Genomic DNA, 26,032 nt, shown 5'->3' on the forward strand with positions numbered 1-26,032 from the left:
GCGCCTGTCTTTTCTTAAATCAAGGACACTTTCAGATGGATTTGGTTTCTCTCTGACTCGGCTCGTTCAGTCAGCCTGACGGGCACCTACCGTGTGGCTCGGGCCCCGTGCTGGGCAAGACCCTGCCTCCAGCTCCCAGCCTCACTAGGAGTGGGGGATGGGAGTCACAGGATGTGCCCAGTGGAACAGCCGCCAGGGCAGGTGAATCCTGGAGAGCGGCGGGCTGTTCAGGTCTGGGACCCTGGGAAGCCACAGGGAGGAGTGCATGGGAGTGACCCTGGAAGCCCAGAGATGGAGATGGGGAGGGGAAGGGCTGGCAGGGGCCCTGCCCGAGCAAAAGATCAGAGGCAGACAATGCTCAGCGTCCAAGGAGGAAAGCGGAAGGAGCTGGAGGGCAAGGCAGGCCCTGGTACCTGGCAGGTGCTCCATTGGTGCCTGTGGAATGGACCCCAAAGGATCTTAGCCCTGGGAGCAGGCAGTGGGGAGCATTACGTATTCTTTCCATTTTCAAAATTTGAAGAAGGGACTTATATACATGGTAAAAAATAAAACGGTACTTCTCACTCCCACCTCATCCATCTGTCCGGAGTCAGCCACTGTCCACGGGGCCATTTGTGATCATTCAGAAGTGGGTCTTTATAGGAGTCCTAACGCCCAGAACAGTAATCTGCAGATATTACCTCCCATGTGCTGTGCCCAGCTCGGGGTGAGCTGGAACCTGCGGTAGATCCTTCGCTCGGCATCAGTCTCTGGAGGGAGGTAAAGACCTGTCCTCAGTGCTCAGCCCCAGGTGACTACTCAAAAAGCCATTTGAAAGAAGAGATCATAAGCATGATTTGTTCATGCTTTAAACACAATTTTAAACCATACAGATGTCACTTGTTTGGCCGTCACTTTGAGGTAGAATCCAAGGACATTTCTTTGAGGAAGGATCTACCAACTTAAGTTATTTTTGCTCTAAACAAAGGCTGGATGTGTCTCCTCCAAGTTCCACTGACAGTTTCTTTGGAGAGGAGTGAGTATTTAAAGGCACTTGGAAGCAATCTCAGTGCAGAATCCTTCCAGAGTTTTAAGGCCCCACCTCCCCAGATCTCACTTCTCTCTCCCACGCAAACTGCACAGTGGTATTTTTAGCAACTTGCCTCTACTGACTCCAAAGCTTAGTTTTCATGGAATTTACATTTTCATTTTACACCCATATGAGATCATTTAATCAATGTGCATTAAAAGCTTAATTACATTTATTACAGAGACAAGTACACCTGGTACAAATAGGTTTGGGAACAGAAGCAACCAGTTCCTGATCCATGCACAGCTCAGCTGGTGTGGCCAGGCAGTTCTGAAATCAACAGGGAGGCCACGAAGTCAGCACGGGATGCCCAGCATGGCTGGAGCCACTGAAGGATTTCTGCTTCAAGAAGCCTCAACCGGTATCTAAGGCCTTCCCACTGATCAGATCAGGCCCACCCATTTCAGCCAGGACACTCTCCTTGACTTAAAGTCAGCTGATCACGGCCCTTGGTCACATCTACCAGACGCCGTCACAGCAGCACCTAGAGGAGTGTTTGGTTGAGTAACTGGGGACTGGGACCCCACCCCCCATACCATTCAGGTTGACACATCAAATTGACCCTCACAGATTCAAGGTTGGCAGAAAGCTCATGAGCAGATGTAAGATTGCACTCAGTCTCTCACTCACAGCCTCTCTCCTCAGGTGATTTGTAGAGAAGCCACTATTCAAGCAAAGGGCAAGTTCAAAGCTTAGACTCTTAATGATGATGTGGTTTTGCAGTTTCTATATTCACGTTTATTCCCTTTTATCTTCCCCAGAGTCTGGCTGGGAGAGCCTTCCACATAAGGGCTAATGGAGCAGCACCCGGTTCCTTTCTGTAATGGCATTGAATTCCACTGCAGGGTTGAACACAGGTCCTTTAGGCCCAATGGGCATTAAGGCTCTGCCCTGTGCTTGGCTATAATGAACATCCTCATACGTGTGTCTGTAAGAGGCCCATGTGGAAGGATGTTCACACACATCAGAAATCTTGGAACTGGAACTGGCAGGTTAGAGAATATATGCATCTGTCATTTTTGACCTGAGCATTGACCACCAGGGAATGCCCCTGATTGACAGCCCCACCAGTGGGGGGGCGGGGGGAGGGGCTCTGTCTACACTCCTGTCAACATTGTGGATTTTCCAACTTTCTGCCCTCTGCTGATCTGGAGGTGGCACAGTGACGTGCTGTTTGGCACAACCACACACTCCATGTGGTTGTTATTTCCATGGAGGTCTGTGAATGACGATGAACTTTGGACTTGCCCCACAACAGCAGCCCAGTTCTACTAGTAAGGCAGAGCTGTGTCCCACAAGCCCAGAACCATGCCCCCTGCAGCGGGGCCCCTGTATTGCCAGTGGCTTCTCTGTTCATTTTGCTGTGCCAGCTTGAGAGGCTGTGCAGGGGCTGGGGATTCAGCAGTGACCAGGTAGACAAAGTCTCTGCCCTTGGAGGGGTCCTGAGTCCCTAACTGGCCAGCTTGGTGCCTTGTCCTGGGTTGGCACACATACTGCCTTTTGTACTCTGGTGGCAGCTGTGCAAGCGTGGGACTGTGGTGTCTCTTTCACAGGCTTGGAGGGTGGCTTGCCCAAGGTTGCCTTGTTGCTGTCAAAACCAGCCTTTGGGCTCAAGTTTCTCAATGTAAACCTGGCGTTGCCTTGATGTCCCATTCATGTATCCACTCATGCATTCAGACACTCATTCATTCATTCAGTCACTTGTTCATTCATTCACTCGTTCATTCACTCATTCACTCATTCATTCATTCAGTCACTCATTCATTGGTCACTTATCACGGACCAGGCTTGGTTCCAGGGCCCTGAGTACACAGCATTGGGTACTACTGATGCAGTTCTTACCATTGAGGTACTCAAAACATAAATAATCAATTCTGGCCATGAAGGCCACAAAATACACAAATGCACTGGGGAGCAACCTGTGCAGAAAGGAGCCAGTTACTTCAGCTGGAGGAGTCGGGGTGGGCTTTCTGGAAGAAGAGGTTTAAGCTGAACCATGGGGAGATCTGGGTAACAACTTTCTCAGCAGAGGGAAGGGCCCAGGCAGAGGCGCTGGGTGGGAATCAGCTTGGCATGTGCTGTGGTCTGAATGTTTGTGTCCTCCCCAAATTCATGTGTCACCCCCAGTATGATGGTGGTTGTACATGGGGCCTTTGGGAGGTGATTAGGTCATGAGGGTGCAGTGCTCTTGAGCGGGATTAGCGCCCTCAAAAAAGGGACCCCTGAGGGCTGCATTGCTCCCTCCACCATGTGAGGACACAGTGAGAAGATGCTGTCTCTGGGAAAGTGGGTCCTCCCCGGATGCCGAATCTGCTGGCACCTCAACCTTGGACTTCCCAGACTCCAGAACAGGGAGAAATGGATTTTTGTTGTTTATAAGACACTGAGCTTAGGGGACTGTGTTGTAGCAGCCGCGCTGGGCAAGGGCAGCTCAGCAGGTCAGCATGACCAAAGGAGGACAAGGTATGGGGAGGAGGGAGATCAGTGGGGTGGGGGAGGGGAGGGGTGCTCAGGGGCTTCGAGGAGGCTGGAGCTCTGCTCCTCAGCAGGTTGTCTCCCTCCAGGAATTCCCTGCCACAGGCTCGGGCCTCTGGGTCCTGGTGGCTGAGCACAGATCTTCGCTGAGTGTCCCTGGTCTGGGCCAATGTGGGGCCAGCATCTTGGTTCTTCCCAGCTGACTCAACCTGGGCTTGGCTCACCCTTGGCTGGGACCCAAGGAGGCCAGGCAGGGTGGTGGGGCCCAGTGGGGTGTGGGGCACATTCCTTCCAGTGCGCTCCCCTGCCCCAGCCTTACACCTGGCATTACAGGGCACATGCTGTCCTCACCCTGCCTCTCACACCTGCTGTCTCTGCACACACCCTCCTGGCCCTGCCTCTCACACCTGCTCTCTCTGTACACACTGTCCTCACTCTGCCTCTCATACCCACTCTCCCACACACTCTGTCCCTGCCCTGTCTCTCATGCCTGCTCTGCACACACAGTCCTGGCCCTGCCTGTTACGCCTGCTGTCTCTGCTTCCCTCTCTCACGTCCTTCCCTGCAGGGTGCGTCTCTCCCTCCTCTTTGCACACATGTTCTTGGCCTTTCTTCCTCACTCCACTTTCCTCCTTTCAAAAGTAGCATTGGCAGGGCTGGGTGTCACTGTGAATGACATTCTCTGCGTTACCTTGACTGTGAGAACAGAAAGTGCCTCTCTACAGGTAGATGCGAGTTTGGTCCTGAAAGTCAAGGGCCTGGTTTTCCTCCGGAGGATTTGAATCCTTCCCTCTCCCTGCTCCCCTCCCTTCTCTCCTTCCCTCCCTCCTTCCCTCCCATAGTTCTCAGGCACCAGGTGATTCCTCAGTACCTCTGAGAGTCCCCAGATGGAAGGTGACCTGGATGTCCCTTGGTGTCCATGTTGCTGTCTTTAGCACCTGGAAGAGGAGGTAGAAGGGGCATGTTCACGGTGGGGTTGGGGAAGCCTCTCAGGGCAGCCCGGGAACCATCCGGAGAGACTGGTGCTGGTGACCAGCTGGCCTTCATGGGCGGGGGTGCACGTGATCTTGGTGCCTCACCTGAGCCCTTGGAACACCCGGCTCCAGGAGGCTGATTGGAGGCGAGACCCCTCCCCACCACCACTGGGGCTGTTCCTGGTGCAGAGGGTGAAGGACTCATCTCATCTGTATCCCAGGGGCACTAACCCAACCCTGGGCAGGGCAGTCTAGAGTCCCTTTTTGGCTTAGGGTGGGCCACAGAGCCAGGCTGACAAAACAGAAATAGCAACAGTGATGGAGACAGTGCGGTGTGCAGCTTGCGGAGCCCAGGGCACAGCGGCCTGGCTAGCCCCCTCACATACGGCTCTCTCCTTTCAGTCTCACCAGGTGAGACCATGGAGGTGCAGAGAGGAGACTGGCTGCACCCAGGAGGTGGAGGACAAGAGACACTGGAGAGTCTGGGAGGCCAACTCCACGTACCTGGAGTTCTTTTCTGTGCTGCCCTGGGAGGGAGCCCAGGCTCCAGGGGACATATTTCTCCTGCAGGGTGGGGTTGGGAGGACAGAGTAGGCAGGAGCCTTTGGCCTGAAGGCTTGTCACTGTGGGCACAAGAGGCATGGGACACCTTCCCGACATCAGAAGCCCCCCACTGCACCAAGCTTGGCGGGGCTTCCTGGTGGAGTTGAAGTTGCCCTGCCTCCTATGCCCTCAGGACACAGGAGGCAGGCCAGCCGTTCTGTTGCCTTTTGGAAACTCAGGGCAGCTCTGTGGATTGTCACAGCAACTGGAGCTCCTGCTGTATTTTCAGGATGGTCCCGGGAGGCAGGTGTTCTGCAGCCATGGGGCACTCCCTTAGCAATGAAGACTGGCCCCCCATTCCACTTGACTTCTGAATGTCCCTGGGACACTCATGAGAGTCCGAAGCCTGTTTATGATGACCTGAGCCTCATCCCAAGTGCATTGTGGACACACACAGGAGGTATTTTGGTGGAGCTGTATTACAGGTGGCGTCTCCTGGAATGCAAAATGCCAGAAACCTCTCCCACAGATTGGGGAGGGAACCTTGCTTTGTCCAGAGCTTCACCAAGAAGCATTCCTCCACTAGTGTCTCTCAGGGCATGGAGTGACCAGTGTGGCAGCTGTGGGTCTGTCTGCATTGGTGGCTGGCACTGTGATGGTGATTTTTCTGTAGCGGCAGCATTGGCATTGTGTGCTGTGTCACCCAATCCAGCCATGCCTGGCACTTACTTACCTATCGGAATATGTGTTATTTGATTAAAACTTAATTTCCTTTTTCCTCCTTTATATTGCAGATAGGGTGTTATGTTGTTTTTTTGGTTATGCGTGTCAGGGATTTGGAGGAAAAGGGACAAGACAGAACAATTGTAATAATGGGGGTGTGTGGGGTACAGTGGGGCTGCGGACCCGTGTGAGGAGAAGGACATCTTTGCCGGACAGGGACAGTGTGAACAGCCACTTATTGGTAAATGCAGCTCGACGTGGGGCCATCACCCGGCATGGAGTTTTGGGAGGGGTGGGAGTAGGAGGGGCTGCTGGAGGGGTCACCGTAAACTGAAAGGCTTTGCTGAGGGCCTTGGAGTTTGTCCTGAGGATGGTGGGAACCCGGGCTTGAGCTCATCGTGGGAGTAGGAGTTAGAGTTATGCTGCTGTGGGCAGGGAGGTGGACAGTGTGGAAGTCTCCATCATCCAGGGCTGAGGCTTGTGGCCTGGATCAGGGAAGTGGCCTTGGGGATGGAGAGAGGCAGATGGATGGATGGACGGATGGATGGATGCAAGCAGAACCCAGCAGACTTGGAGCTTCCTGGGGTGTTGGACGTAGGGAGTAAGAGGAGCCAGTTCTCCCAGGGGTCTGGTGTGTGCCTGGGTGGTGGCTGGAGCCAGCCCCTGAGCCCAGGATGCTGGGCACGGAGCAGGTGTGAGGAGGTGGGGAACAGGGTGTGAAAAGGTCGGCTTTGGACTCAGAGTGCCTGGAGTCACATCCTCCCCGGCATCCCAGAAGTCAGGACTGCTGGCTGCTGAGATGGGGCTTGCCCCAGGCATGTGGACCAGCAGCCAGCACCTCTCAGCTGAGCCCTCAGTCGGCAGAACATCCCTGCTTGCTGTTTCCTAGTGTGGACACACTCCATCCCCTCTGCCTGGATGCCCATCCCAGGTCTTTCCCTGGGCGGTTTCTTTCATCATCCAGGCCTCATCTTATGGCCTGGAGAGTCCTCTTCTCTTCCTGAACTTCTCTCCAGACACACCCACATTGCTCTGACGCTCTGAGACATAGGGTCAATGTGCCTGTCATCCGTGCACCCAGATGGTGTGCGCCTGGGGGCAAGCAGACGAGACATCTGCCCCATTCACCATCAGATGTCTGAGGATGCATCAATGCGTCGTGTGAATGGTGTGTGGAGACGCTGCCTCGCTGGGGAATCCCATCTCCAGGCGGGGGCCGCCAGCTTTTCTCAGTGACTCAAGGCGGCTGTGGGGCAGGATTGGCATTCCCAGAAAGGAGCCTCCCAAAATAGCCCGGGCGTCCCCTGTGGGTGTCGAGCTGTCTGTTCTCTCTAGGAAGGCATTCTGCCTTGTATGGAAGGAATTGCTTCTCAATTTCTGCTCCACACTGAGGTGACTTTAGATGTTGATTCAAACCTTTTCTGTGACATCTGTGCTGGGGTGAGATCAAGATTTGGGGGATGTGCGTTTAGTGGGGCAGCCTGGCTGGGTGGGGCTTCATTGGGGAAGCAAAGCTTGGGGAGCTGGAACTATGCTTCTCCTGACCCCGTGTCCTTCCACTTCCTGAAATTACCTGCAGCCCCTGCTGCTGTGCTCATCATGCAGGAAGGCAGTCAGCTGAGCAGTGTGTGCAGAGGACGATTCAGAAACTGGTACAAACTTGGCACTGAGACGGCGTCTGATGGGAGAAGAGGGGGTGTCTGATGAAAGAGGCTATGACAGACAGGAGCATGTGCGTGTCTGGTGGAAGAGGGTGTGCGTGTCTGATGGAAGAGGGTATGAGTGTCTGATAGAAGAGGGCGTGAGTGTCTGATGGAAGAGGGTATGAGTGTCTGATAGAAGAGGGTATGAGTGTCTGATGGAAGCAAGTGAGTGATGGACAGTGTGAGTAGATGATGAAAGAAGGTGTGAGTATTTGATGGAGGAGGGTGTGTCTGATGGAGACGGTGTGAATGTCTGATGGAGAGAGCATGAGTGATGAAGAGGGTGTGAGTGTCTGATGGAGGAATGTGTGGGCATCTGATGGAGGAAGATGTGAACATCTGATGGAGGTGTGAATGAGCAGATGTTGAAAGAGGGTGTGAGCATCCGTCTGATGGAGGAGGCTGTGAGTGTCTGAAGGAGGAGTGATTCTTGGGGATCCAGGCCTGCAAGGAGGCGCTGGGCAGGATGGAGCCTGCAGCTCTGCTGGCTGAAGGTGGAAGAGACCTGGGCTCAGCACGCCAGGTGAATAATATCAGTGCTATAGTAGTAATGATGCCACCTATTTGTGTGTCAACCTCCTCCTGTATTTAGTGTTCTCGACTCTCCCAGCATCCCTGTGGGTTTTGTTGGCAGGTGTTCACCTGGGGAATCAGAGGCTCAAGTAAGGGAGGGCGTGACGCCATCACCCAGCTGGCAGGGGTCAGAGCTGGAACTGGAATCCTAGCTCTGTGCCAGTGCTGGGGCACCAGTGCTGACTGTGGAATAGACAGTTGACAGCCTCCACAGACCTGGAAATGTGGGTGGCACAGTGGCATCATGACTCCTGGAGCCTCTCCAGGCGTCCTGACTGTCCAGGCTGTCGGCGGTCTCATCAGCTCCACCTCTAGGCCCCTTCCTCCCCATTGTTTGTCCCCTGCTCCCTGTCTCCTCTGTGCTACTCACAGCACAGGGCCAGGTGTGTCGTAGGTGACTGCTACAGATCTGTCGTGTGAGAGGCACTCGGAACCAGGAAGTGCCTGTGGGGTCACCTGTTTGGCTGGTGCCCCCTTGGCCCCCAGAAATGACTCACATCCACACTTGAACATACAGACATCCTTTTCCAGGGTGTGTTGTGCTCGATACCTTTAATTCCTGTCTGCATTCCAGGGCCTGCCCAGCCTCTTCCTGGCTCCCCAGCCCAGCCTGGTCCTTCCGGCCTCCCTGTCATCCCCACCTCTCGTGTGTGCACAAGCAGGGACCAGGTAGGGAGACCGGCAGATGCTGCTCTCTGTCCCTGGGGTTTCTTTTCTTAGTGTTGCTCCCACACCCACGCGATGCTTTAATTAACTGCCACACTCAGGCTTTCTCAGTGGGGAGAGTCAGAAATAGACTGTGGCTTCCCCAGCTCCAGGCGGCACCAGGACGTCACCAGCAGCCCCATTTCTGAATCAGGAGTCTCAAGCAGCTGCAGAGGGTGGGGAGGTTTGGGGAATCCCACAGGGGTTCTACACCCCCACCTACCCCGCCCCACCCCTCTGCAGGGCCTTCTGCAGCTTCCAAAGCCCAGCTATGCTCCGGCCACGTCTCTAGCGGCTCCTCGGAGAGCAACTTGATACTGAAGCTCAAAGCCCAGGAAGCCCTGGCGGCATCCCTGCCCCAGCCAGGTCCAAGCAGGCTATGTAGTGAGGGAGAGGAACCGGCGCCCATTCCTTTGCTCCTCGACACAGGCTGCTCCCCTTGCCTGCGCCGGCTCTGGGGGTCTGCTCTCACAGAGCTTCATGACTCGTTCAACCTGACTGCCCTTTTCCTGGCCATGGTTCTGCCTAGAAAATTTCCTGGGCCACCCTGGCCTGAGTGGCGACTGTGTGTCAGGGCAGGGGTCAGCACACTGTGGGGCAGGGGTGGTGGCCTGTGATGCATGCCTCTGCCTGGGCCTGACTCTCTGTGCTGGGAGAATGCTTCCTGGGCCTCATCCCAGCTGTGTCCCTGCTGGCTAGTTCCTGCCAGCTGGTGTTGCCGGTGTTCCTCCCTGCCTCAGCCCTCCCAGCATCTGGAACTGGCTGTGGGTTCTGATTCCAGCTGTAGTAGCTGCTGATCACATTCCTCTCTCTGAGCCTCAAGGGTCTCGCCTGTAATGTTGGCAAAGTAATTGTCTGTCCTTGGCATCAGGCTCGTCACCATTTTTCCTTTTGGAAGCCCCAACTCTGCATGAAGAGTTAGCATAGCTTCAGGTAGCAGGTGGACAAAAGGGTATCTTTTATGTATACTTAGGGTAACAAGTATTAATTTGGAGTGTGGGGTGTTTTTGCTCTGTGGCCAACTTCTTCCCCAAGTCTTGAACACTTCAGGGGGCCCTCACAGGCCTGCAGCACACTTTGTCCTTGGTATCTGGTGGGGGTCTGGGCAGGTCCGTATCTCTTGGTAGTGGGTTCATCTCCATCTCTGTTGGACAGAAATCTGGAAGAGTCCGGAGAGTGTTTGCAAATGCAAATCTAGTCCTGGCACGCCCACACCCCATCTCACCCAGGTCTGCTTTAAATCCTTCAGTGCCGCTCTGGGGTTCCAGGAGTGAATCCAGACTCTCTCTCCAGCGATGCCAGGCTGTGTGGGTCCTGCCCCTGCTCAGCCTCGGTGCACACACACCTCCATGCGATCTAAACGACCCCACCTCAGGACCTTTGCACATGTCCTCTCCTCACCTAGCGATCCCCAATCATCCTCTGGATCCCAACTAAAGTGTCACCTTCTGGGAAGCCATTCATGTGCAGATTAGAGCCTAGTCTGAACGGTGGCCTGGCCTTGTTGGGTTGGCAGAACCACCCTAAGACCCTGCTTAGCACCCTCACCTGGCAGTCAGGGGTCTTCTTGCTCACCTCAATCCCCTCCACTGGTGAGAACCACAGGGAGGGTCTTGGGGCCCACAGCACTGTCTAGGGTTCTGCATCCACCCTTCCAGGTGTGGGGTCCTGGCACTCTGTAAGTAGAGAGGCAGGTTGGTGACAAGCCAGTGGGGTCCTGGCCTGAGCACCCTTTTGCTCTGTTTACAACCCTGTGCCTCCGGGGCTGTGTCTACCCAGAGGACTGCATATTCTAGACCATTCAGGGGTACCCTGTTGACATTCAGTGAGAAGCTTGGCAGCTAGATGAAGCCCTGCAGTGAGCGATTGGACCACTACCAGACTGCCTCTGTGCCTTGGGACCAATTGCACAGTTTTTGCTGGCTTGATGTCCACGCTTTCCTGAGGTGTACCAGTTGGATGAAATGCTTTTCTGGGAACATGGTCCGCGATCAGCTGGCAAGTCACAGGTTGGGTTTTCTTGAGAAATTACTATATCCCAAGCATGCATTGTCACAAACATTTTTGTGCATTATCTCATTTAATGCTCATTAAGAGGGTCTGGTACTAATTCTCATTTTGGATGAGAAAGACAAGGTTCCAACAAAGGGCGGGGGGAAGCCTTGTTCGGGGGCCATGCCAGTGGACACTAGCCTCCAGGGACATTTGGGGTACTTCTCAGATTTGAGGAAATGCACAGCCTCACTCCTCAGGTGTCCCTATGGGTGTTCCTGGCTGGGCAGCTGGCTCAAGAATTGTCTTGAGCCACACACAAAATACAAATGGCTGGGGCCAGCATCGCGGACAGTGAAAGAGTTTACCAAGGCAGTTATAGGTAAAGAAAGGCAAATTTATTAGAGAAAGTATGAAGATCCGTTGCAAGGGTGCAATGGGCAGCACAGTAGAGAAGGGGCTGCTGGAAAGAGGCAGGCGCTGGAGGGAAGTTTTATAGGGTTGTGCCAGAGGGGCTTATGTGCAGATAAGATAGTACTGCTGGGTCTTCGAGTGGAACAAGGTGTTTGGAAATAGGATGTCATGCCAGTGGGTTGTCTGTGATTAGCTGGCTCTCAGAACAATTCTTCTCCCCCACCTAGGACCCCTTCCTCATTGTTGCTTACTTATTAGGACTCCACGTTTTACTTCCCAAGATCCCATTCCTATACACAGCCTCTCCCTCTTAGCCAGAGGAGCTGTGCAAAGGAAGTACCTTTTCATGGGTAAAAGACTCATGGTGCGCTCACTCTTGCTGGGCTTCAGGGATTTTTCATTTCTATTGCTCTAAAAGTGCCTGTGTGCCTTCCCCCTCCATCCCATCTCCTTCCTGCTTCCGAGCCCTTCTGTGGGCAGCATGGGGGCCAGGAATCTGGCTTGTTCCTGCTTTTCCTATGGTGGTCTGCCCCACCATTATTCACACACAGAGGCTGTTGGGTTCTCTTACCATTCCCTGTTTACAGAGACTCAGATACATTCAGAAGCGAGCTAATGCTGGGTGCCCAGCTCTAAGGGGAGACCCCAGACAACTCCAATTTCCTGATGATTTCTCTTCCTTTACCTAATTCCTTCTCCAAGACCCTTGCAGACACTGCTGTACCAAGTGGATTCTGTGTAACTCTCTCAGAAGTTTCCTCTTCCATGAAGCCTGCCTTGATTACCCACCCCCATCCTCACTCCCTCAGTGTTTAAGCCCAGTGTGTGAACAGTTAAGAGACGCTATGGTCTTCCCACACTGGTTTCTTCTCTTCATTTGGGTCTCAGCGAAATGTATCTCTGCCAGATTCTGAATGTATCTGCCCCTGCCCAACCACTCACCCACCATATCCGCCATTTCCTCCACGGCATTGACCACTCTCTCAGATGATTTTGTTCATTTGTCTGCCTTTACCTCTAGACCAGGGGCATCCAATCTTTCAGCTTCCCTGGGCCACACTGGAAGAATTGTCTTGAGCCGCATACATAAAATACACTAACGATAGGTGATTAGCTAAAAATAATTGCAAAAAAACCCTCATAATTTGTGTTTTCAGAAAGTTTATGAATTTGTGTTGGGCCTCCTTCAAAGCTGTCCTGAGCTGCATGCAGCCTGCAGGCCACGGGTTAGACAAGCTTGCTCTAGACTATGAGCTTCCCAAGGGCAGGGAAGACTTCCCATACTCAGCACTCTGTTCTGGGGGCTTGGAACAGTGCCTGGCACATAGCAAATATGTCATAGTCATCTCCTGAGTGCTTGAATGAGTGGCCTTTGGGGTGTTTTGACTAGACTGCAAAAGCAACACTTAAGTGAGCTAGGCTTTGCATACATTGTTTGGGACTGGGGAGGATTCCAGCCAGGAATTGTCAGGGGGGGAGGTTCAAGTCTCACTGAACATCGAGATATGATGTGGAAGCAACCACCCACAGAGCCAGAAGACAAAGCCCCCAGGGGAGCAGAACCACAAAGGGTTGTGTTCTAGTGGGGAGGGAGGAGTGGCTGAGCCCCGCAATGCCCTAGGCTTTCTGCTGGGACAAGGATTATAAATAGGAGATAAATAATTTTTAAATGGAGGCAACATCCTCACTGGGGCAAAATATTATGGCCCTAAATTCTAGGCATTCAAATACTGGGCCCTGTTGTCTCCCTGCTGTGGTTAGAGGATCTGGAAGTGGGAAGGTTTCTGGCTCTGGCCCAAGGACAATATTATTGTAGTCATAAAAATAATCAGAGCTTGGCATTAATTTTGGATGATGATGCCTCCTTCTCCTGACAAGCCCTTTATGTTTTTTGGTGGTGACTGTTGGCTGCATCCTCCAACTTCCTCAATGAGAGACCACTTGAAAAAGAAATAATAATTTGTCTTCATATCGCACACTCCGTCTGGGCTGATGGTGGGAGGGGAATGCGTGTGGGTGGGCTCAGCTCTGTTAGCTGCGCTGGCTGGAAGAGATTCCCAGTTTTTATTCAGCGCTCGAGCTGGGCTGCATGCTTGCTGACAAGAGGCGGGAGGCCCCTTAGACGTCTTTAGACACTCCCCCTGTGCTGGGCTGGGCACAGGCGGCTCTACTCAGCAGTTCAGCAGGCAGAAAGCCGGAAGGAGAGATCAGTGCTCCCAAGGCTGGTGTCTCCCGTGCTGACAACGGAGGCAGTGCTGGGAAGCATGAATCTCCCAGCATCTCTGGATCCAGAAGCCTGAAAACAGGTGGTGCTACCCACCCCTCCCTAAGCCAATGGGCAGGAAAAAGAATTTCCTGAACAGATCTCCTCGCTGCTTAAACACACTGCTCCGGTGAACAGTCCAGACCAGGCAAGGTTTGGGCGACAGATCAGAAAAATGAAGACCTGCACATGTGGAGCTGGAGCAAGGACTAGTCTAGTATTAGCTCTGTGACGGGAGAGCTTTGACTGTCACCTGGAAGTCTGACTTGATTTTGCCAGCAAGAGGCAACAACCAAAGGTTCACTTTCTCTCCTTCCAATTTTGGGAGGCGATCTATAGGGGTTTGCCAGCCACCTCTCATCCTTGCAGACCCCAGGTGGAATTTGCAGGCAGCCACTATGGTGCAAAATGTAATTTTAGTGTTTTTCCGCAGACGGCTGAGCCAAAGACCTGCCGTGGAAGAGCTGGAGAGAAGAAATATCTTGAAACGTGAGTAGCTGGTGATTCCTCTAGAGGTTTTCCTTCACGTGTGGTGAGGCTGTTGCACAAATCCTGAGTTCCCATAACCCAGCCCTTCTCTGCAAGCGGAATGCTCCATGCTCCCAGTAAACCTGAGCTGCTGCTGAATTCTGAAAGCAAGCCCCAAAGGAAAGCTGATATACCTAGAAACATTTTTTTTAATTTAAAAAAACTCCTTTCCTCTTAGCATAAAGATGTTTTTATTTTCAGGGTTAGTCCCATATGTCTAAGTGCGTTAGGTTTCAAGCAGGTCTTCCTGGCAGTTTGGGTCGGGGTTCTTCATGGCTATAGAAATCACAAAGCATGAACCGCATGAACACACTAGAGAAGGACACGCCCCTTGCCTGTTACACTTGGGAGGAATAAAGCAGTCAGCTCAGGGAAACGGTGAAGCCATGAGAAGCTTTCCTGTGGCTCAGGACTTTGAGGTTCCAGGACCCTCTGTTGCTCCCAGCCTTGCAACCCCTTGCATTTCCCGTTAGGTGGACAATTATAGCATATGCTGAGCATAGGTGTTCATGAGTAACCTCCATGCTCTAGGGCACTATATTCCATTAAATATTCCATAAAGTCAGTGATTTAGGGGTGGCCAAACCTCTTGAAAAAGTGTTTCTCCAATAGTTCTTTATCTAGTCATTTTCAGTTTTTAAAACATTTTCCACAGAAAGTGTCTTCTAATGGCTTGGATTTTTAAAGGACTTTTTTTCTCTTTATGTGATGAATACTGCAGACTTTCTCTGAGTTTGTTTTCTTATTTGTGAACATCTTTTTATGAAGTTATAATGGTACCAAGCTGACTTTCTGTCAGAAAATACCGCAGAGCCCCTTGTTGGTCTGGGTACTGAACTTGAATTGATTCCTCCCTCCTTTCTTTGCCTCAGTGCCTTCATTAACTGCCTAAAACAATCCCCTCCTTTATAGATTGTTGAAAATAACCCTCAGATAAAGACTTCTTCATTTTACTTTTTAAACTTAAGATATAGTGACTACTGTTCTATGTTAACTATACCATCTCTGAGGATTTAAAGAAAAGCTCTTCATTGATAACATGCTTAATTAAGTAGGCAGACAGAAAAGTCAAGCTGTTTCAGTTGCCAAATATTTGAATTTTTAAAAATTAAGTCACTTATTTATAAAGCTTGTAAGTTGCAGATGCTACTAAAAGTAGCAGTCCAGACTTGAACCAGGCAAGTTCAAGACACAGGAAGCACCACATTCCAAGTAGCCTGCTGTCAGCAACAGGAAGAGAGTACTACAGCCCAGACCTTTAACCCAGGAACCATGTCTTCTTTCAGTAGCAGCCTCTTCCTTCCTATCGTGGGCAACCAGGTCTTCCCATCAGCAAGTACTTCTAATTGTGTTAATCTTTGGAAATAAATATCAGAGCCTTAGAAATAGAACTATCTTTGGTGAATAGGGAGCTAGCAAATGCATAACTGAAACTGACTGCCCTTACCTTCAGTGCATGAAAGGGAAAATGGGTTTCCTCTGCGGTGGCCATGGCAATCCCGCCATAAACACTGTGCCTTCATCAGTGAATGTAGGTTTGTCCTTAGCTCGGAAGCCCTCTCTAGTGTCCTGAGTGGAAGGACCTGAGAATTTTACTGCTAGGTTTGTGGTGGGTGTTTGGTTTTACTTTTGTTCTGTGGAGATGAGAATAGGGTAACTATATATAGCCTAGTATGAAACATCATACTCATAGGCTCTAGATACACAGGACTTCAAGCACTCATACTGTATTGTATTTTCTTCTTGTAACCAATTCTTAGAATATCACTTTTGTATTTGCTTCAAGGGGGAACTCATGACTAACTGCAGTCATATCTGAGGAGCACTCAAAACTCCGCCCATATAACACTATAACGTGGATAGAAAAGCAGAAGAGCAGGGGTCCCTTTATATGGTGATGGTAATTCTTTATTAGGCCCAATCTGTGCCAGGGACTATATTCAGTACTTGGTATATATTCCCTCATTTAATCATTGCAACATATTTGTGAGGTTTGCACTTTTTAATAAATGAATATTGGGAAAAGGATAGCACTAGAGTTCAACCCCAGGTCTGCCTAACTCCATTGCCCATCTTCTTAACTACTGCATCAGAAGCAGTAATACATTTCTGGATATTCATGGAAGTCTCAGGTATAACTGTCCAAGCTGCTGGAGCTATTTCCAGAAAATATGAGTATAGCAGTCCTGATTATGGGTCCCTTGCTTTGTATAATGCAGAGGGTGTTCTGGGTCTGGAAATAAGAAATCCATAAACATATCACTAAGGGGAGCTCAGAAGGGGAGGTCTGTGGGCTTAGGCTAACAGGGAGGACTTCTTGGAGGAGGTCTCCAACAGAGCGCCTGGCACAAAGCAGCACTCTGACAGGAACTTTCAAAGATCAGTTCTCCAAAGACCCTGCTGGTGACCTTCGTAGTAATTATGGCATTTTTCAGGATTAAAAAAAAAAAAAAGATCTGACTTTGTTTCAATCTTTTCACATGGAAGCTGCACTTGGGAGCTGCCCATGGCCTATTTTAAAGAAATCTGAAACATTTTACGTCACGTAAATCCCTCATGGCTTGCCTTGTCTGGACACTTTCACAATGTCTCTCTAATTGTATCAGCTTTCTGATGATACCTTAAAAGTATGGTTTCTTCTGGTTTCTCACTTGTATAAAGAATTAAGCAGAAAGAGGATTTCATTACCTTTTCTAAAACACCCTAATCCAAGATGACTCACTTAAAAAAAATTACTGGAAAGCACAATATATTAAACTCTCATATAACCAATCCCACAAATGTATAAATATTTGAAACGCATCTTTTACATAAAGGCAGATAATGTGAAATTGTGTTAATTGCAAGTGGCAGGATTTCCCTTACCAAAACCTACCAGTGTTTCTAGGAGTGCTGATTGTTGAAATCTCTTTCCTAGGAATGGAGCTATGTTCAGGTCAGGGACATAAGGCTTTATTTAGCAACAGAGAACACCAGAAATAGGACAGCCATTATCTTGTATCCCAGGGGGAAGCTTACGTTTTATACTATATCTCAGCACTTTCGTCTATTTTTGGCTTCCAAGGGTAGGTGCGAGCACAGCTTGAATGTTAATAGTCACAACTTACCAAGCAAAGCTAATTTTGCTGAGGGACTTGGGCTCCTTTAAAAGGCACTGTCATATAACAGTGTTCACGCTTCAGCAATGGAGAGTCAGCGAGGTTCATAGATGTGTTAAGATTTGAAATATAGTCTGAACATATAAATTCCAGGCAAGCATATGCTGCCCAGGAGCTGAAGAAGGTGTTCCATGTTTTATGTTGGTTAAAAAGTCTGTACGCTTATTAAGGAAAAAAATTAGTGGCAGTGCTATTTATATTGAAATGTACATATACATTTATTTACTTAGTCTACTACAGCTTTTTTTATGTGGCATCTAAGTGCTAGATGTAAATATAAAGATATTTGGGGAGAAAGACAGACACAGAGGTGTCTACTTCCTTAAACAAACAGCAGCCATATCTGTGGTTGTTTCTAATGCACAGAAGGGCTGAGGAGACCAGGTTGGGATGACAGCAAAGCTTTGCTTAGTACAAGTATTTCTGTGTAATGAGACCATGATCTCCTGAGCAGTGACTGACAAAGTGGGAAGAAAACACCATGAGTGATGTGGAATTAACTTCAGCTCCCAGAAATATGGATATCTTGGGAACACTTCCCTGCTGAAGAGAAGAACGTTTCAACCTGTTTCTCTTTGTTATTTTTTTTTTCCTATTTTAATCTTTCACAGAAAGGAATGATCAGACAGAGCAGGAAGAAAGAAGAGAAATCAAGCAAAGATTGACAAGAAAGGTAGTATAAGCATTTTATTGCCTGAATAATAAAAGGTGGTCTAGAGAACAGCTGCTTCGGTAGCAGGTGGGATGGGTAATGCTAGGTATCACTCTGTGATCATGAATAATGTTCTCCTGGACATCATGGCATCAGTTAAATCAGGATATTTGCTCAGCAACAATGAATTAACTCCCTCTGACGTTCCCTATGGACGAAGTCCTTCCCTAGCACGGTAGCACTTGGAGAGGTGCACAATGCACATGACATTTTTTACTTATGTTCAGGTGGAAGCCAGAAGTTGATTGGCATTTTCTTAATTTACAGTGTCTAGGAAAAGCATACCTGGGTATCAGTGTTTTAGTCACATTTTACACTCATCGCTTTTGTTCACCTCCAATATGTCTAGAAGTTCCTCAGTTGCAGAAAGCTTTATTAGACTCAAAGGTTTGTTCTCTGTGACTCAAACAGTTAACATTTACTATGGCCAATACAGGTAGCAACTCTATAAATCTTAATCTACTTTTAAAGCCTTGACCATTTCTAAATTCAAGTGTTCTGGATTCCCCTTCTTCGTTGTGCTGCTCCATAATAATTCTCTTGAAATTAACAGAATATCCTTCCTAAGCTGGACATATAATAACTTTATTAGTACTTTTAAAAAGCTTATCTAATTGTATCTGAAGCCAGTGATGCCATAAAATCTAAGTTAATTCACTAACCATTCCTTGAGCTGGTGCTATGTACTACTGGGGGTGTGACTCCTTCTGATAAAATATGTTGGAGGAAGGGGGATTGTGATTTAAGAGTACAGTATATAATTTCAGCCCTTCACATTAGAGATTGCTTGTATTTGGGTTATATTTTCCAGTTTCAGGTTTTTTTTGTTTTGTTTTGTTTTTTAAGAGAAGTGCTGTTTGTTCAGAGTACTTCAAAAAAGCTAGTTTGGCATGTGATACTTAACTATGATGATCTTTAATTTTAGCTTAATCAGAGACCCACTGTTGATGAATTAAGAGACAGAAAAATTCTGATACGATTCAGTGATTACGTGGAAGTAGCAAAAGCGCAGGACTATGACAGGAGGGCAGACAAACCCTGGACGAGACTGTCAGCAGCAGATAAGGTACCTAACTGCCTGTGCTGGTGGGGGGTGTTGGATGATATAATAAAGGCAAAATATGTCATGCCAGGGAGTTTATTCATAGACAATGGGAGCCCTCAACTATTTAAGGGTATACTGCAGTAAATATTGGTTTCTCAAAGATAATTCAGGGTCAGATTGAGAAGTGGTTCTCAGCTAGGTGACAGTTTTGCCCCGAGGGACATTTGGCAATGTCTAGAGACATTTTTGATTGTCACAACTCGGGATGCTACTGGCATCTCCTGGTAGAGGCCAGGGACACTGCTCAGCATCTCACAATGCACATAACAGCCCCCACAACAAAGGATTATCTAGTACCAAATGTCAAGACTGTGGAAATTGAGAAACCTTGGTATAAGGGATAAATCAAAGGTGGGCAAGGCTGCCATAAGAGATCAACTGACAAGTTTAAACAAAAAGAGCTACAGTGGGGACAAAGAGGCATTCAAGAAAGCCTCTACAGTATAGAAAAGGTTCTAGATTCTCCCCCTGGACTTGTGCAGTTTGAGGTATCTCTGAGAACCTCCTAAGAAGTCTGAACTGAACAGCTAGAGAGGCAGGAAGAACACAAGGAGGTAGTAGGTCATAGAGTCTCTGCATGACATTTGGTGAGCACAGAGAGGGTCAGTTCTTGTCTGTGATCAAACACTTGACTGGCAAGATTTAAGCCCAAGAGTGTCCATAGAGTTTTGTCACCTTCTTGCTTCTATTAATTTTCAGAAGACTTAAAGCCTTTAGGAAGAGAAAAATTATACATTCAGGCAAGGAATTTGCTAATTGTTCTTCATTCTTCATATGCTGAGTATGAGTATGTACACAGATATTGCATCAACTTGGAGAAATGTGAACGTGTTGGACTAACTTGCCTGGTTCTTTGTGACTGATGTGCCCAGAGGATCACAGTGATGCGAGGAGAAGTATCTTTGGTGGTCTGCAGATGTGTTTGAGTATGAGAATAATATACCCCTAAAGTTCTTAAAGACTTTCCTTGTCCCAGAGGCTGTGTTTGATGTTTTCAGTCTCATCAGGTCCCTCGAGTGTTTATCTGAGAAAGAAGTACATGATGCAAGTGGGCCTGGGGAAGCCAAAATATTAATGTATGCTGAAGTTAGAAAGGCTTATTTCTAGATTATCTCTGATTATAAAATTCCAAGTTCACCAAAAGCTGAAGTTTACTCATTATCTTGGTGTTCCTGTTTCATTAGTGCCCTAAGCATGTGCTTGGTCCGTTTAGGTATGGAGTGAACGGAGTTTGGGGAAGGGTTGTCTTCCCACTACAGTTCAGCAAATTAATGAATGGAACACTTACATAATACTAGTCCTAGCCAGAGCAATCGAGCAACAGAAAGAAAGGGCATCCAAACTGGAAAAGAGAAAGTCAAGTTATCCCTCTTTACAGACAATATGATCTTATACCTAGAGAAACCTAAAGACTCCACCAAAAACTTAGATCTGATAAATTCACTAAAGCCATAGGATACACAAAATCACACAAAAATTAGTAGCATTTCTATAAACTAATAATGGACTAGCTAAGAAAGAAATCAAGAAGGCAATCTTATTTAAAATAGGTACCAAAAATACCTGAAAATGAATTGAACCAAGGAGGTGAAAGACCTCTACAAGGAAAACTACAAAACAATGATGAAAGAAATTGAAGAGGCCACACACAAATGGAAAGATATCTCATGCTCATGGATAGAAAGGACTAATACTGCTAAAATGACCATAAAATGACCAATGCAATCCCTATCAAAATACCAATGTCATTTTTCACAAAAATAGTAAAAGCCATCCTAAAATTCATGTGAAACCCAAAAAGAACCTGAATAGCCAAAGTAATCCTTAGCAAAAAGAACAAAGCTGGAGGCATCACACTAACTTCAAAATGTATTATAAGGTTATACTACCAGCATAATATTGGTATAAAAGACACATAGACCAATGGAAAAGAATAGAAAACCCAGAAAAAATTCACTTATTTACAGCCAACTGATTTTTGACAAAGGTGCCAAGAACATAAACTGGGGAAAGGACACTCTTCAATAAATGGTGCTGGGAAAATTGGATATCCATATGGCAAAAGAATGAAACTGTACCCCTATTTCTTACTATATACAAAAATCAACTTGAAGAATAAAGACTTAAATGTAAGACCCCAAACTATAAAACCACTAAAAGAAAACACAGAAGAAACAGTCCAGGACATTGGTCTAGGCAAACATTTTATGGCTAAGACCTCAAAAGCACAGATAGCAACCAAAATAAACAAATGAGACTATATTAAACTACAAAGCTTCTACACAACAAATCAACAGAGTAAAGAGACAACAGGGAATATGAGAAAATATTAATATCTGCAAACTATTCATCCAAAAAGGGACTAATATCCAGAATATACAAGGAACTCAACAGTCAAAAAACAAAACAAATAATCCCATTAGAAAGTAGACAAAAGACATGAGTAGACATTTCTCAAAAGATGACATACAAATCGCCAACAGGTATATGGAAAAAATGCTCAACATCATTAATCAACAGGGAAATGCAAATCAAAACCACGATGAGATATCATCTTATTCCAGTTAGAATAGTTATTAAAAAAATAAAAACATGCTGGAAAGGATTAGGAGAAAAGTGAACTTTTATATACTGTTGATGGGAATGTAAATTAATGCAGCCATTATGGAAAACAGTATGGAGACTCCTCAAAATATTGTTTAAAAACTATATGATCCAGAAATGCCACTTCTAGGTATACACGCAAAGGAAATCAAATCAGTACATTGAAGAGATATCTGTACTCCCCTGTTCACTGCAGCATTATTAACAATAGCCAAGATACAAAATCATCCAAGTGTCCATCAATAGATTAATGGATAAAGAAAATGTAGTGCGTGTATATATGTATATGTGAATACAGTGTGTATACACAGCCACACAAAATGGAATATTCCACCTTAAGAAAATCCAGTCATTTTTGACAACATGTATGGAACTGGATGTTATTATGTTAAATAAGCCAGGCACAGAAAAACAAATATCGCATGTTCTCACTCATGTGGGATCAAAAAAGTTGATGTCATGGAGGTAGACAGTAGAATGATAGATACCAAAGGCTGGGAAGGGTGGCAGGGTTTGGGGAGAGAAAGAGAGGTTGGTTAACCAGTAGTAACATACAATTAGAAGGAATAAGTTCTAATGTTCTATAGCAGAGTAGGGTCACTACAGTTAACAACTATGTTGTGTATATTTCAAAACAGCTAGAAGAGAGGACTTAAAATGTTCCCAACACATAGAAATGATAAATACTGGAGGTAGACATCCTAAATACTTGATCATCACACAGTCTATGCATATAACAAAATATCACATGTACCCTGTATATATGTACAAATATTATGTATCAATAAAATTTTTACAAAGACTTCCAGAATATTAGCTACATACTAGCTTGGTAGGACTATAATAATGAGTATGGCAGTTTTAATGATGAACCAAAAAATTGTTTGTTTTTTTCTGTATATTACATAATAGAGTCAACAAGGATTAGGAATGGTTAATTTATAAACACGATGCTAATTTCCTGATTTTTTTAATATCCTGTAAAACAATGTCTTGTTTTTAAATTTCAGGCAGCAATTCGTAAAGAATTAAATGAGTACAAAAGTAATGAAATGGAGGTACATGCATCAAGCAAGCACTTGACAAGGTCAGATTTGTTTCTGTGAATTTCATGGTACTTATTTTTGAAACACACACCGCCTTCCCCCGTCCCCCGCCACAAACCATGTATCCAGCTATACAAATTCAGCATTTTTCCAGAGAACTCTATTGAACAAATAGAATGTACCTCAAGTAAGAATGCTGCCTGCTCCCATTATTTCCTTTAGGACTTGGTGAAAGGTGATATGTATGGTAACAATATCGGTTTATTTAAGTAGTTAATGCATATTTAACAAAAATAAGCCTCAAGGCAATGAAAGTAATTTTTCTGTGTATTTAATTCCCCTCTAATATTCAGAATTCCTCCAATTTATAGAACTCACCTGTTTATACTTACAGATTTTTGTGAAATTAGTCACTCCCCACCTTCACATTTACTTTTTCCTATCGTAAATTATTAGTCACATCTTTAACACAGCCAGCGTTCTCCTAAAGCTGAGTATTTGTTTCCTCAGTAAATATTTGAGTAAGTGCTGAGAATGCAATAGTGAATATGATAAAGGAGGCTCCCATCTTCATGGAGTTTATGTCCCATTGGGAATATATTGGCTGATTCTCCCATAATCAAGACTTTTCCCATTAAGATGAATATATTCTCTGTCTATGCTATGATATGCAAGGGATGACACTGGGCTTCTTAGTGATGACGAAGTTGGGAAAAGATTTAACTCTCTTTACTTATTGAACTGCATATTTTTTCAGTATTTCCCCCCACTTCTTTTCCATGGCCATGACCGGTAGTAATTATGTGAAGTTCTCAAACATCTCTGATTCTAAAGCAGATGACTGTGATGCAACAAGCCTTCAACTGTATCAGTTGCTTTGTCTTCTCCTTTATCTGAAGATGCTCAAGGCCCACATACAAAGAGAAAGGAAATCCTGCATATAGATACTGCCTTAAACTAAAATAATAGCTTTAGTTTTCTGTTTGTTCCAAAGTGGCCACTGCAATTGTTATCTGAAAGATTTACTCTGTAAGATTAATGTGGCTATAGAACAGAAACTAAGTACAATGGAATTCCACCTTAACCAATGGTTTTAGGGTGAATATATCAAGGGGAAGGGAAAGTTGGATGAATAGGAAAAAATTATGCAAAGAGTTTGTTTTTTAAGGTTCCCTCCCATGACTAACATACTTTTGGGGAGGAATAGGTCATATGGAGGAATAGGTCATATGAATGTTTAGGAAAAACAGTTTCAGTAAATCATGCACAATTACATTTAATGTTCATTCTGTCTTAAATAGAATGAATACATATTCTATATATTGCAATCTCAATTTTGTACATTTTCCGATTATACATTATTAAATGTTTAGTAAAGATGTTTATTGTCCTAAGTTGATAGCTTTCTAAAATAATGACTCTAATACTTAAAATGTGGTATAAAGACCCTAAAATTATTTCAACAATTCAAGAGTCAGAACGGTATTTTTGGTTATGAGATTTTAAGAGTTTTAAAATTACTATGAACATATTACTCTACAAAAAGTCATAACTCTACTATAATTTTCAATAATTTATTAACAAATTCATCATTTCTACTGATTTAGCAAAGCCCTGGCCTTTCTGTGTACTTCAAGGGCTTTTAACTCACAGGTTTAAAACTAAGTTCTAGATAGTCCTAAGAATTCAGCATATAACAGGGGCCTGAGAGTGGGGAGCCCTCTGAGACTCTACCCTATTTTAACCAGAGTAGCTCCATCCTCATGTTTTACATATGGGACTTCTGAGAATCTTTTTAATAGCAGCAAATTTATTTGTATAAGGTTTTTGGCTATTTTAACTGCTAGAAATGAATAACCTTAAATTCTTTGTCTTTTTTATAATCTCTAGATTCCACAGGCCATAGAGATTTTCTTCTGAGAAGAATTTGTGTTTAATTTTTTGATACCAACACTGAACATTCATCAGGGAACTTTCCTGAAGTTCAGCTCAAGACTACCCTACCTGCTGTGTTTGTGAGAAGAGTAGGATCACACACACAGGTGCAATCTTGACCACACTTACCTGCAAGAGGAGTAACCAGAGGACACACTTCCTTCCTTCTTTGGTGTCTGAGGAGTGTGAACTGTTGGGGTCAGTTAAGACCCAACATAACTCTATCAGAAGAAAACTGTTGTTTGCCTTTCAACCTTGTTTTACAGTTCTGCAGTGTAATGGAGGACGGGCAACGTGCATGTGCAGGCTCACCACTCCCAGGCCTCTGACATGAGGGACATGTGACAGTGTCATTCAGTATTATGTTCAAAAGACATTTTTATCCTGATCATAATTAATTTGAAAACTCTTTAAGTTCATGTTATACAAGATGATTTACTGTATTATACTTTTCCTTTTTTATATAATGTCTAACAAAAAATACAGCTGCAACATTTTGATTCCTGTTAATTTTGTTCTTTAATTAAATGACTACTTATTGCAGGAAATTAACCCAGGCTTTACATTTTCTTGTGGTTGGGATGAGTGGTACTTTAGAACAGGGATCTGTGAAACAAGTCAATTTTTACTTGTGAACGATCAGAATCCAAACACATGAATGAGAATTCCAACTTTTTATGTGTTTGGTTTGTGCCTTAGAAAATCAAATTGAGTGCCTTTAACCAAGAAATAAGCAATAATTTGTTGAAAAATTCTATCAAAATGAAAAGTATGCCTCTTTAGAGTATTTTTAAGCTCACCTCTGCAAACACTGTTAAAGAAAGGAAATTTACCCCAGCACAAAGGTGAAAATCTTGGCACAAAGGGGGAAACTAACAATACATGTTCCCTGAAAAATATTTTTAATTGGCTTTCAAATAAGTGTCCTTACAGAGATGAGCCTTCCCTCCTCCTTCCCTCCTGGTATACTGGTGAGGCAGGAAGCACAGTAACTTGGAGCATGACTTTCAGAGCTTGCAGAACTTGTGCACAAATCCAAGCTCTGTGCTATTCAACAAGTTACTTGTTTTTTCTATAGTATGGTCATATCTCTCTCACACAACATTGCTGTAGTATCTAAATAAGACAAAGTAGCTAAAGTGCTGGCACATTGCTGAGGACGTTCTGGGAATCCAATAAATGTTAGCTACTGATATGGTTGCCAGGTAGCACCTGGAGCAACTGAGTGTCCTCTATGACTTCTTGCCACATATGCTACCTCATTGCTTTCCACTATTTTTCCTTTTCTACTTAAGACTGCTACTGGGTCAGACGCCCACAGAAACTGCCAAGTCTTTATGTTAGCACTTTGTCCAAAGTGACTTATGATCAGTCCTAGAGACTAGCAAAACACACTATTCATTGAATTATAGTTTTTTTTAATAAGAAATTGTTATGGTAGAAAAATTCCAGCTCTACCTCTTAGCTGCTCTGTAACCTTCTGTGAATCAGTTGACTTCTCTGAGCCTCA

At 46.0% G+C, this 26,032-nt stretch overlaps 1 protein-coding gene across 13 annotated transcripts in view; it reads left to right on the forward strand.

Annotated features, from left to right (window-relative positions):
* Positions 1-25,074, forward strand: part of PHACTR3 (phosphatase and actin regulator 3) — a 270,203-nt gene extending 245,129 nt beyond the window's left edge. For all 13 annotated transcript variants that reach the window (NM_001199505.1, XM_017027628.2, XM_017027626.3 and 10 more), the window contains 5 exons: positions 13,868-13,923; positions 17,732-17,793; positions 18,758-18,898; positions 22,552-22,628; positions 24,478-25,074. In NM_001199505.1, coding sequence (NP_001186434.1) covers positions 13,868-13,923; positions 17,732-17,793; positions 18,758-18,898; positions 22,552-22,628; positions 24,478-24,493 — 352 coding nt within the window. In that variant the 3' untranslated portion in view covers positions 24,494-25,074. The remainder of the gene's footprint in view (positions 1-13,867; positions 13,924-17,731; positions 17,794-18,757; positions 18,899-22,551; positions 22,629-24,477) is intronic.

The sequence above is a fragment of the Homo sapiens genome, chromosome 20 (assembly GCF_000001405.40).
Source record: "Homo sapiens chromosome 20, GRCh38.p14 Primary Assembly".
In the NCBI taxonomy this organism is placed as follows: Eukaryota; Metazoa; Chordata; class Mammalia; order Primates; family Hominidae; genus Homo; species Homo sapiens.